Below are 12,768 nucleotides of genomic sequence, written 5' to 3'. Positions count from 1 at the left end.
ACACCAATGTATCAGAAGGGTCATTTACTCTCATAAGTCTTTAGGGAAGAATCCTTCATAGCCTCTTCCAGCTTCTGGTAGACCAGGCCTTCCTTGGTTTGTGGCAGCATTACTCCAATCTCTGCCTTTGTCTACACATGGCCTTTACTGTGTGCATGTGTCCAAATGTGTTCTCTCCTTTTTTAAGAGCATTAGGGCCCACCTAATTCAGTATGGCCGCATATTAAATAATTACATCTTCAAATAGGCGATTTCCAAATAATGACACATTTTGAGGTTCTGGCTGGCCATGAAAGTTTAGGGGACATGATTCAAACCATTACAGGGTGTGACCAAACAATTAATTTTATGTGAGTGTAATCTATTTTCACCCATGTATTTCAACACTGAAGATGAATGGATTATGTTTGAAAAATAAATACCTTATCCTAAATCAAAGAGATTGTATAACACAACTTGACACAATCTGTTATAAATTAACTTCATTTTTATTTATTTGAATTGATTATATATTACAATTCCCTGGAAAGTTCTGAATTATTTTCTTTTCAAAAATAGCTAGCTCATATAAACTGGTGGATTTCAGAACCCTTAGGGATAGTTTTTGTAGCACCATAGTACATAATGCAATTATTATATTTATCATCTGTGAATAAAATAAAACCTTGTGAGATAAAGTATACTCATAAGATTAGAGCACAATGAAAGCAAAGTATTGATAAAAGTCACCAAATTGTTGATTCCTTTGGGAGGTTGATGTAGCATTACTGGATTGCTCAGAAGTAGGAAATGTGAGGTCCCACATAGAAATTTAGGGTTCTATGGGGAGAATGTTAGACCCATCAGGAGGAGAACAAATCCTTTAGACAAATGTCAAAACAGGACAAAAGGGCAGTAAGGTACAGAAAGGCAAAATAAAACACATGTGGGATAAAAGGCTCAAACGAGATGTTTAATGCATTAAAAACACATTTCCTTGAGTTCTTCAGGATAACTGTATAATAAAGAACAGCTATTTACCTTTATGCTAGGGGTTCACAAAAGGAGCCTAGAATAGACCTGCTGAGTATTCCTTCATTCCTTACTGATTTGCATTTATCTGAGGAGTCAGTAATTATATATAATGTTATGTTTAAATATGTTGAAAATGTATTTCTTACAACCATATCCTTTGTATCAACCTTGTTAATTATAACAGCAATGTAAGATAATGCTAAAGCACTTCAGTTTTGAATAGTTGATAAGATCTGTATATGTCAGAGCAGAAAATCAGTAGGCATTCAAAGTAATTTTTGCTTAATTTACTTAAACTATTTCTGATTTCCATTCATAACTGACTGATAGCATACCAAGTAAATCTAAAGAGATGATGAAAGCTGCCTTAGGGGATTATGCTAATATTTTTATTAGGTTGCTTACATATGGTAATTGAAATAATAAATGTCCTAATGCTTATTTTAAAGGTGGTGATTTACTATCAATAACATTCCGTTTCTGAGTATGTAGCAATTAACAAAACAAAAAATAAGGTTGACATGAATTTTCATGTTTACTTCGCCTTATCAAATCAGGAAAAGTGCCTGCAACACTGAGGAAGATGATACTGACAGGTGTCTATCCAACTCTCCCCTTTCCATTTACAGTTCATAAGAAAAATACATTTTTATTTCTGAAAAAGTATCCACCAAATCAAATACTACTTGATTCTTTTTTTTTAACTCCGGCTATTTACACCCAGGTATATTGTTAGTATAAATGCTTTGTGGTTGATGTAATCTCTGACCAAAGTAGACTAATAAAATAATGCAAAGATTACATTTTGATGACAAAGATGTCTTAAAGAACTTTTCTAAGAATTAAATTGTTAAAAGCACTTAAGAGATTTCTGGGAATTGTAATATTACTATTGTTATCCTTAGTCAACTTCTCTTCTAAGATTCACTCTCTGGAATCTGTTATTATTTTAAATTAATATATAATAAAGTATTTGTTACAGAAACAAGAGGATCACATATGATCATATATAGTGAAAATAGTCGATTATACACTACCTCCCCATTTTAAGTGACTGAAACACCAGGACACAACTACTGTTACTCTCATAAGAAAACAACAACAAAATGTTGGATGAAATCCAATCTGATTGATACATTCTGAGTAAAAAAAATTGAATGACTTCAAGTCAAATAAACTACCATCAGTATAAAATTGAAGATGTAGATTCTGGCAAATTTGATTTAACTTTAGTACTTGCAATGGATGTTTCTATTAGAAGACATTTGCTCACCAAAACGCTAACCTCTGAAACTGCAGTCAAATTGGCCTTTGTCTATAGTAGACAGATGTATTCAAGATTAATAAATAATATAAGCAAAGTTTTATTTCCATTGCCTATTAATTGTACAAATAGTATCCAATATAATAGAACAAATAGAGAAAAATAAATTTCAGTGCATGAATGTACTTTTTAAAAATGAATCATGGTTTTTGAAGGATTTCCTCAGTGGCTGAAGATTTAGTTTATGGCTTTGAAGTCATGAATGATAAACAGATGAGTTTTCAAAAAAATCCTAACAGTTAAAAGGAAGGTGAAATATGTAAAACCATTGAGATGGGATCTTTTCCATTCCAGGTACTTGATTAAAAAAAAATCAGGGAGGCTTAAAAGTTTGATTGTCAGCATGATTTCCTCTTCCTGGCTTAAATGAAACTTGCTATTTGTGTTAAGTTCAGTTTCTCTTCCAAAATGTCTATCTACTGGCTTATTCTTCTGCCTTTTGTTCTTAGATTCTGTTGAAGATAATAATTTATCATTTTTTGAATGCAAAGATACATCACCTTTAAATGAAATTAACAATGGACACAAGAAAACCTAACAGCAATCACCACTTAAGAAATGCATTTGTAAATCACTAAATGAATTAAAGCTTTCATTCATTTAATTAAGAAGTCATAGCCTTAACTTATGTTGTTGTGTATCCATTTTGTAAAAGCAAATTTTACTAGTTGCTGTTCTAAATATGCAGTGAAAGGGCTTTCACTCCAAGGTCTTGCTGTTAATATGACAATATATTTCCTTTTCTTGTTTTTCTATAGTGCCCTGTAAAAAAGGAATGCTACATAGCTGTCTGTTGTTTGTAATGTCACCAAACATCTAAGGAAACTTCCCTGGGAGTTGATTTCAATCTTTCTTACCCACTGTAACACCCCATTGCAACAGTCCCTGGCCCCTTGCAACAGGCCACGTACCCCCTTCCAAAATAAAGTCTGCCTTACCATCTTTAAAAAAAGAAAGAAACATATCTGAATTGTTTGTTTTATGATAACATGCATTTTAATGTCATTATATTTTAATTGGAATTTTTTTTTAATGTCACTTAAAAAGAAGTCTAGGCTGGAGAAACATGATTTATGGGAAAGTTAAAATATAATAAATAATTTGAACCAATAAACTACTCTGTATACTCCGTTTAAATTATCACGTAAGAAATTTTGTTGTAAGCAAAATTAATTAGAATTAAGTCAATGAATTTAGTTTTATATTTATAGTATGTAAAATATAATCGAGTCTTTTCATCCTTGATTAAAAATTGCCATTGATGTTTTATCTACTGAGTGTCATACCTCATACATGGTGTTTCAGATAATCACAATCTCACACAGCTTTTTAAGTAAATGTTACTCCCATGTCCACAAATTGAAAGTGGGAGATTTAAGCAATATTTTTATTTATTTATTTATTTATTTATTTTTATTCAACACTGACATTTGATTTTCTGAAGTTTTATCATTTTTACAAAACAAAACAAAACAAAATGAAACAAAAAGCAGGTATCAAAAACAGCAAAGAGTTTATAGAATTTCTGCACCAGTTTGCACATAAGTCAGTGATTACAAAACTGGTGTCCAATGTAAATACTAATCACAAGCTGACTTCCCTCTTGGTCAGGTGGTTTGTTTTAGAGTTACTCGATATTTATAACTTTTTATAAGCACTGGTCATTTTTTGAGAACTGATTTGGTTTGTCCAACAAAGTAAACAATTTTTTGCTATGTGGCAGCTTCTTTTTTAAAAAAAACACTGAGCTAAAACACAGAATGTGTATTTGTTTGGATCTGAACCAAATCTTTTGAGATCCCAATTACCCTGAAGAACACTGAAGACATTTATGGGGCATATTAGCTTTGTTTTTGCTTGCCTCCTGATTATCTGTACTGTGGGTTTAAGTATGCTACTTCCTCTCAGCATCCAATAATCATGGCCTCTCAATTTATTTGTGGTCACCCAAGGTTCAGAGCAAGAAGTCTTGCTCTATACAAATGTATCCATAAAATATCAGAGCTTGTTGGGCATGAACATCAAACTTTTGTTCCAATAATATGGCTCTGTTTGGAAAAAACTGCAAATCAGAAAGAATGATTTGCAGAAAGAAAGAAAAACTATGGTGTAATTTAAACTCTGGGCGGCCTCTGAATGAAATGCTACTTTCTTTAGAAATATAATAGCTGCCTTAGACATTAAGCAATATTTTAAAATCAAAATAGGATTTATGTACCTAGGTATGCCCTCAAAGCCCTTTCCTTTCCTCACCTCCAACACTCTGGGCTAAGCTACTTTTAAAATGTTGATCACCATTCTGGCTTGATCTTGCTAGACAGTTTAGTTAAAAAGATGTATCAAGGATCCTAGTGTCTACTAGGGAAGAAATATTTGTAAACCCTGTAATTCTATATTATAAGTTCTCTAAGAGAAGTCCATATGGGGCATGGTTAATAAACAAAGAAAAATGATCATTTCTTCACGGCTTGGTGTCCCTTTCTTATATGCATCACTGAAATAAGTCTATATATTGATGTACAATGTAATTTTTAAAGTTGTTTTTAATATTCCAACTCTAAAGTAATCTGAATGAGAAAATATATGAACAATCAGCTTTAAACCCACACAGAGACATACTGGAATCAGACAGAAATTTCATGACTACACATTTGAATTTTTAAGAAATTTATTACAATGTGAATTAATGAAAACAGGCTTTCATGTTTCTTTTATGTATAGAGCCTTGAAACCTTGAAAATTGGTTTACTTACACTGAATAAATATGTATTTATTTATTTTATTTTGATTTAAGTTCTGGGATACATGTGCAGAATGTGCAGGTTTGTTACATAGGTATACGTGTGCCATGGTGGCTTGCTGCCCACCTGTCCTCTAAGTTCCCTCCCCTCACCCCTTACCCCCCAACAGGCTCTGATATGTGTTGTTCCCCTCTCTGTGTCCATGTGTTCTCAATGTTCAACTCCCACTTATGAGTGAGAACATGTGGTGTTTGGTTTTCTGTTCTTGTGTTAGTTTGCTGAGGATGATGGCATCCACTTTCATCCATGTCCCTTCAAAGGACATGGTCTCATTCCTTTTTATTTTATAGTATTCCATGGTGTATATATACCACATTTTCTTTATCCAGTATATCATTCATTGAAATTTGGATTGGTTTCATGACTTTGCTATTGTAAATAGTGCTGCAATAAACAAACATTTGCATGTGTCTTTGTAGTAGAATGATTTATATTCCTTTTGGTATATACCCAGTTATGGGATTGCTGGGTCAAATGGTATTTCTGGTTCTATATTCTTGAGGAATTGCCACAGTGTCTTCCCCAATGGTTGAACTAATTTACATTCCCGTTAACATTGCAAATGTGTTCCTATTCCTCCACAGCTTCACCAGCATCTATTATTTCTTGACTTTTTAATAATAGTTCTTCTGACTGGCATTAGATGGTATCTCATTGTGGTTCTGATTTGCATTTCTCTAATGATCAGTGATGTTGAGCTTTTTTCCTATGTTTGTTGGCTGTGTAAATGTCTTCTTTTGAGAAGTGTCTGTTCACATCATTTACCCACTTTTTCATGGGATTTTGTTTTTATCTCGTAAATATTTTTAAGTTCCTTGTAAATTCTAGATATTAGACCTTTGTCAGATTGGTAGACTGTAAAAGTTTTTTCCCATTCTGTAGGCTGCCTGTTCACTTTGATGATACTTTCTTTTGCCGTGCAGAAGCTCTTTAGTTTAATTAGATCCCACTAGTCAATTTTGGCTTTTGTTGCAATTGCTTTTGGGGTTTTTGTCATGAAGTCTTCGTGCATGCCTACGTCCTGAGTGGTATTGCCCAGATTTTCTTTTAGGAATTTTATGGTTTTGGGTTTTACATTTAAGTCTTTACTCCATCTTGAATTAATTTTTGTATAAGGTATAAGGAAGGGGTCTAGTTTCAGTTTTCTGTATATGGCTAGCCAGTTTTCCCAGCACTATTTATTGAATAGGAGATCCATTTTCCTTTGCTTGTTTTTGCCAGGTTTGTCAAAGATCAGATGGTTGTAGATGTGTGGTGTTATTTCTGAGGTCTCTGTTCTGTTCTATTGGTCTGTATGTCTGTTTTGGTACTAGTACCATGCTGTTTTGGTTACTGTAGCCTTGTGGTATAGTTTGAAGTCAGGTAGCATGATGCCTCCAGCTTTGTTCTTTTTGCTTATGATTGTCTTGGCTATACAGGGTCTTCTTTGATTCCATATGAAATTTAAAGTAGTCTTTTCTAATTCTGTAAAGAATGTCAATGGTAGTTGGATGGGAATAGCATTGAATCTATAAACTACTTTGGGCAGTATGGACATTTTTACAATATTGATTCTTCCTATCCATGAGGATGGAATGTTTTTCCATTTGTTTGTGTCCTCTCTTATTTCCTTGAGCAATCGTTTGCAGTTTTCCTTGAAGAGTTCCTTCACTTCCTTTGTTAGCTGTATTCCTAGGTATTTTATTCTCTTTATAGCAAATGTGAATGGGAATTCATTCATGATTTGGCTATTTGTCTGTTGCTTGTGTAAAGGAATGCTTTGATTTTTGCACATTGATTTTGTATCCTGAGACTTTGCTGAAGTTGCTTATTAGCTTAAGGAGTTTGGGCTGAGATGACGGGCTTTTCTAAATATAGAATCATATTGTCTGCAAAGAGAGACAATTTGACTTACTCTCTTTTTATTCGAATACCCTTTATTTTTTTCTCTTGCCCGATTGCCCTGGCCAGAACTTCCAATACTATATTGAATAGGAGTGGTGAGGGAGGGAATCCTTGTCTTGTACTGGTTTTCAAAAGTAATGCTTCCAGCTTTTGCCCATTCAGTATGATATTTTATGTGGGTTTGTCATTAATAGCTCTTATTATTTTGAGACATGTTCCATCAATACCTAGTATATTGAGAGTTTTTAACATGAAGGGATTTTAAATTATATCAAAGGCCTTTTCTGAATAGATTGAGATAATGATGTGGTTTTTGTCTTTGGTTCTGTTTATGCGATGGATTACATTTATTGATTTGTGTATGTTGAACCAACCTGGCATCTGGGGGATGAGGCCAACTTGATTGTGGTGAATAAGTTTTTTGATTTGGTGCTGGATTTGGTTTGCCAGTATTTTATTGAGGATTTTTACGTAAACATTCAGCAGGGATATTGGCTTGAAATTTTCTTTTTTTGTTGTGTCTGTGCCAGGTTTTGGTATCAGGATGATGCTGGCTTAATAAAATGAGTTAGGGACGAGTCACTCCTTTTCATTTTTTTTTGGAGTAGTTCAAGAAGGAATGGTACCAGCTCCTCTTTGTACCTCTGGTATAATTTGGCTGTGAATCCATCTATTCCTGGGCTTTTTGTTGTTGTTGTTGATGATAGGCTATTAATTACTGCTCAATTTCAGAACTTGTTAATGGTCCATTCATAGATTCAACTTATTCTTGATTTAGTCTTGAGAGGGTGTATGTGTTTAGGAATTTGTCAATTTCTTCTAGGTTTTCTGGTTTATTTGCATAGAGATGTTTATAACATTCTCTGATGGCAGTTTGTATTTCCATGGGGTCACTAGTGATATCCCCTTTATCATTTTTTATTGTGTCTATTTGATTTTTCCCTTTTCCCCTTTATTATTCTAGCCAGCAGACTATGTTTTGTTATTTTTTTTCACAAAACCACCTCCTGGATTCATTGATTTTTTGGAGAGTTTTTCTGTATCTCCTTCAATTCTTCTCTGATCTTAGTTATTTCTTTTTTCTGCTAGCTTTCGTATTAGTTTGCTCTTGTCTCTCTAGCTCTTTTAATTGTGATGTTAGGCTGTTGATTGGAGATCTTTCTAGCTTTCTGACATGGGCATTTAGTGCTATAAATTTCTGTCTTAACACTGCTTTAGCTGTGTCCCAGAGATCCTCGTACATTGTCTCTTTGTTTTTATTAGTTTCAAATAACTTTTTGATGTCTGCCTTAATTTCATTGTTTACCCAGGAGTCATTCAGAAGCAGGTTGTTCAGTTTCCATGTAATTTTATGGTTTTGAGTGAGTTTCTTCATCCTGAGTTCTAATTTGATTGCACTGTGGTCTGAGAGACTATTTGCTATGAATTCAGTTCTTTTGCATTTGCTTAAGATTCTTTTATGATAAGTGCCATGTGGCACTGAGAAATGCAGTTCTTTTATCACATGTGCCATGTGGCACTGAGAAGAATGTATATTCTCTTGATTTGGGGTGGAGGGTTCTGTAGATATCTATTAGGTTTACTTGGTCCAGAGCTGAGTTCAAGTCCTGAATATCCTTGTTAATTTTCTGTCTCATTGATCTGTCTAATATTGACAGTGGAGTGTTCAAGTCTCGATTATTATTGTGTGGGAGTCTAAGTCTCTTTACAGGTCTCTAAGTACTTGTTTCATGAATCTGGGTGCTCCTGTATTGGGTGCAGTATATTTAGGATAGTTAGTTCTTCTTGTTGAATTGTTCTCTTTACCATTATGTAATGCCCTTGTCTTTTTTGATCTTTGTTGGTTTAAAGTCTGTTTTGTCAGAGACTAGGATTGCAACCCTTGTTTTTCTTTGCTTTCCATTTGCTTGATAAATTTTCCTCCCTCCCTTGATTTTGAGCAGATGTGTGTCTTTGCAGGTGAAATGGGTCTCCTGAATACAGCACACCAATGGATCTTGACTCTATTCAATTTGCCAGTCTGTGTCTTTTAATTGGGGCATTTAGCCTATTTACATTTAAGGTTAGTATTGTTACATGTGAATCTGATCCTTTCATCATGATGTTATCTGGTTATTTTTCACACTAGTTGATGCAGTTTCTTCATAGTGTCATTGGTCTTTATATTTTGGTGTGTCGTTGCAGTGGCTGTTACTGGCTTTTCCTTTCCATATTTAGTGCTTGCTTCCTTCAGAAGCTCTTGCAAGGCAGGCCTGGTGGTGATGAAATTCCTCAGCATTTATTTTTTTCCTCTGATTTTATTTCTGCTTCACTTATGAAGCTTAGTTTGGCTGAATATGAAAATCTGGGTTTAAAATTCTTTTCTTTAAGAATGTTGAATATTGACCCCCAAACTCTTCTGACTTGTAGGGTTCCTTCTGAGAGTTCTGCCCTTAGTATTATGGGCTTCCCTTTGTACATGACCTGGCCTTTCTCTCTGGCTGCCCTTAACATTTTTTCCTTCATTTCGACCTTGGAGAATCTGATGTTCATGTGTCTTGGGGTTGATCTTCTCATGGACTGTCTTAGCGGTGTTCTCTGTATTTCCTGAATTTGCACGCTGGCCTGTCTTGATAGATTGGGAAAGTCCTCCTGGATAATATCCTAAAGTGTGTTTTCCAGCTTGTTTCCATTCTTCCCATCTCCCTCGGATACTCCAATCGATCACAGGTTTGGTCTTTTTATGTAGTCACATATTTCTTGGAGGCTTTGTTTGTTCTTTTTCATTCTTTTTTCTCTAATCTTTTCTGCATGCCTTATTTCAGCAAGATGGTCTTCAAACTCTGATATCCTTTCTTCTGCTTGGTCAGTTCGGCTATTGATACTGTGTGTGCTTCACGAGGTTCCTGTGCTGTTTTTCAGCTCCATCAGGTAATTTATGTTTCTTTCTAAACTGGTTATTCTAGTTAGCAGTTACTATAACCTTTTATTGGAGTTCTTAGCTTCTTTGTGTTGGATTTTAACATGCTCCTTTAGCTCAGCAGAGTTTTTTATTACCCATCTTCTGAAGCCTACTTCTTTTAATTTGTTCATCTCATATTCTGTCCAGTTCTGCACCCTTGCTGGAGAGGCATTGCAATCATCTGGAGGAGAAGGGGCACTCTGGCCTTTTGGATGTTCGGCATTTTTTGGTTGATTCTTTTTCATCTTCCTGAGTTTGTCTAGTTTCGATCTTTCAGGCTGCTGGCCCTTTGATGGGGTTTTTGTTGTTGATGCTGTTGCTGTTGCTTTCTGTTTGTTTGTTTTTCTTTCAATGGTCAGGTCTCTCTTCTGTAGGGCTGCTGCAGTTTTCTGGGGCTTCACATCAGTTCTTCTGGTTCACTCCTGTGCCTGCAGATGTCACTCAAGGAGGCGGGAGAACAGCAAAGATGGGTGCCTGCTCCTTCTTCTGGAATCTCTGACCTTCAGGAACACCAGCCTGATGCGATTAGGGTCACTCCTGTATAGGGTGTCTGCAACCCCTGTTGGAGGGCCTCACCCAGTTGGGTGGCACGGGAAACAGGACACATTTAACGAAGCACCTTGGCTGTCTCTTGGTGGAGGGGGTATGCTTCAGTGGGAGGAAATCCACTTGTCTAGGCTGCCTGGATTCCTTAGAACTACCAGGAGAACACGCTTAAGTCTGCTGGTTCACAGAGACTGCGGAACCCCCTTCCCTCCAGGGGCTCAGGCCCAGGGAGTTCAGGGTTCTGTCCCTGAGCCTATGGCTGGGGAGTTGTTGTAGTTCCTGCAGGGAGCCCCCGCCCAGTGAGGAAGGATGGGTCACGGTCAGGCCTGAAGATGTGCTCGGGCCACAGTCTGCCATACCCGGTGTGTTGGGCTGTGTAGGACAACTATTGGAACCACGTTGTCCAATCTCCCTGGCTCCAGCAGGGGAGCAGGGTGCGGCCTGGAGCTATAGAGATGGATGCCGCCCTTCCCCAGCCCAGGCAGTTATGAGTCCCAGTGTTGGCTGCTGCCCCTTCCCACAAGGAAGGAACTCAAACAGCTTAGAGAGCAGGCAGCGCAGCTGCGGCCCTGGTCGCCCTCCCTCCCCGGAGCTTGACAGGCTTAAGCAGATTCTAGCTAAGAGGCTGTTGAAAATCTGCATGGCTCCAGGGTTGAGACCCTAGGCCCTGGTGGCGTGGGTTGAACAGTTCCACGGAAAAAACAAAAACATGGTTTCCCTGGCTGGGTAGCACTCTCACTCACCGCCTCCCTTGGCGGGGTTTGGGTGGGGGCGGGGAAGCGGGGGCCGGGGGTGGGGCGCGGGGAGGGGCGGGGGGTCGGTGGTGAGGGCTCCCCTGACCGGTGTGCCGCTGCACCACATTGCTCTTCCTTTCTTTCCGTGGATCACGCCAGCCACCTAGTCAGTTCTGATGAGAGAACCTGGATACCTTGGTTGCCAGTGCAGGATCCACACACTAATTATGGTTCTTTTTGATGGGAGCCCCGGATTGCTGCTGCTTCTATTCGGCCATCTTGTCCCCACCCCGGGATGACATCTAGGTGCAAGATCCCAGCCCCACGCCTCATTCTCCACAAGCTCCTCTGACGTAAGGGGCTGCCCAGTCACCCGCTCACACCCATCCCCTTCCTGGCTCAGGGGACAGCTGGCTCCCCGCCTTCTCCGCAGGCCAGCGAGGAGCTCGGAGCCTCCACCTGGGAGTGGGGGTGTAGCTGGCTGGGACCTCGGACCCACGGTGGAGGGAGCAGGGAGTAGGTGAGATGACAGGCCGACAGGTGGCGGGGATTCTGGCCCTAGTACCTCGACTGCCACTGGTGCGGAGCCTGGTGGAGACGGGGCAGGCGGACTGCCCAGGAGGTGAGTTCAGTCCCTCTCTCCTCCTTTCGAGGGGCAGCGATCATCAGGGCCCGCACTGTAGGTATGTCAGAGAAACTTTGCAGGGCGGGGACCTGAATAAATATTTATTAAATTTGAGCGACTAGTATAGAACTTGGCATACAGTAGTTATTCAATAAATGGTTGTGAGAATAATGAAATAATGATGGAATTATTTAAGAAATAGTGTTAATATCCTAACTTACCACTTTCCTAAAGGTTAAATATTATTCAGATTATGTATTTTCAAGAAAGCATTTAATTCTTGGTCACATGAAATCTTTTTTTTTTTTTTTTTTTCAGTTAGGAACATACTTTGCTGAGTGAACTTCCTTCAGATGACCTGTTGGTTTTTGGATAAAATTGTAACAAAACATATTTTTAACACAAATGTCCTAATGTGAGGCAATATGCTAAGTTCTGGGATATAATATTAACAGGACAAATGTAGTCATTGACTATTCAGCAGGAACTCTATAGCATAGAATATGTATTTATTACTGTTATATTCTCAATCAGAGAAAATGGATGAATGCTTTAAAAGTAGCTCTCTGAAACAGAAAATATTAACAGCTTTAGTGAAATGTAAATAACTGCAAACTGCTCATATTTAAATTATAAATATGAAAAGTTTGACACAAAGACACATACATATGAAAACATCACCACCATGAAGATAACAAATACATCTCCTACCTCTTACTCTACCTACCACCTCCTCTCCCAGGCAACTGCTGATTTCTATTAGTAAAGATGTTGTGTTGCATGTTCTAGAGTTGTATAGAAATAGAGTTACACAGTATGCAGTCCTTTTGTTTCTGGCTTTTTTTCCCCCCACCCAGAATATTTATTTTGAGATTCAGTCATAATGTTGCATGTTTAAT

General features: G+C 37.5%; 1 annotated feature.

Moving 5' to 3' along the window:
• Window positions 11,308-12,200: an enhancer, noted in NCBI's record as "H3K4me1 hESC enhancer chr6:95220312-95221204 (GRCh37/hg19 assembly coordinates)". NCBI's record gives its function as "activates a minimal SCP1, AML or CMV promoter by ChIP-STARR-seq in naive H9 embryonic stem cells {active_cell/tissue: H9 hESC(naive)}" and the evidence as "EXISTENCE:reporter gene assay evidence [ECO:0000049][PMID:30033119]".

The sequence above is a fragment of the Homo sapiens genome, chromosome 6 (assembly GCF_000001405.40).
Source record: "Homo sapiens chromosome 6, GRCh38.p14 Primary Assembly".
Taxonomy (NCBI): domain Eukaryota; kingdom Metazoa; phylum Chordata; class Mammalia; order Primates; family Hominidae; genus Homo; species Homo sapiens.
Note: the sequence above shows the minus strand (reverse complement) of the source record. Positions and strands in the feature narration are given on the sequence as shown.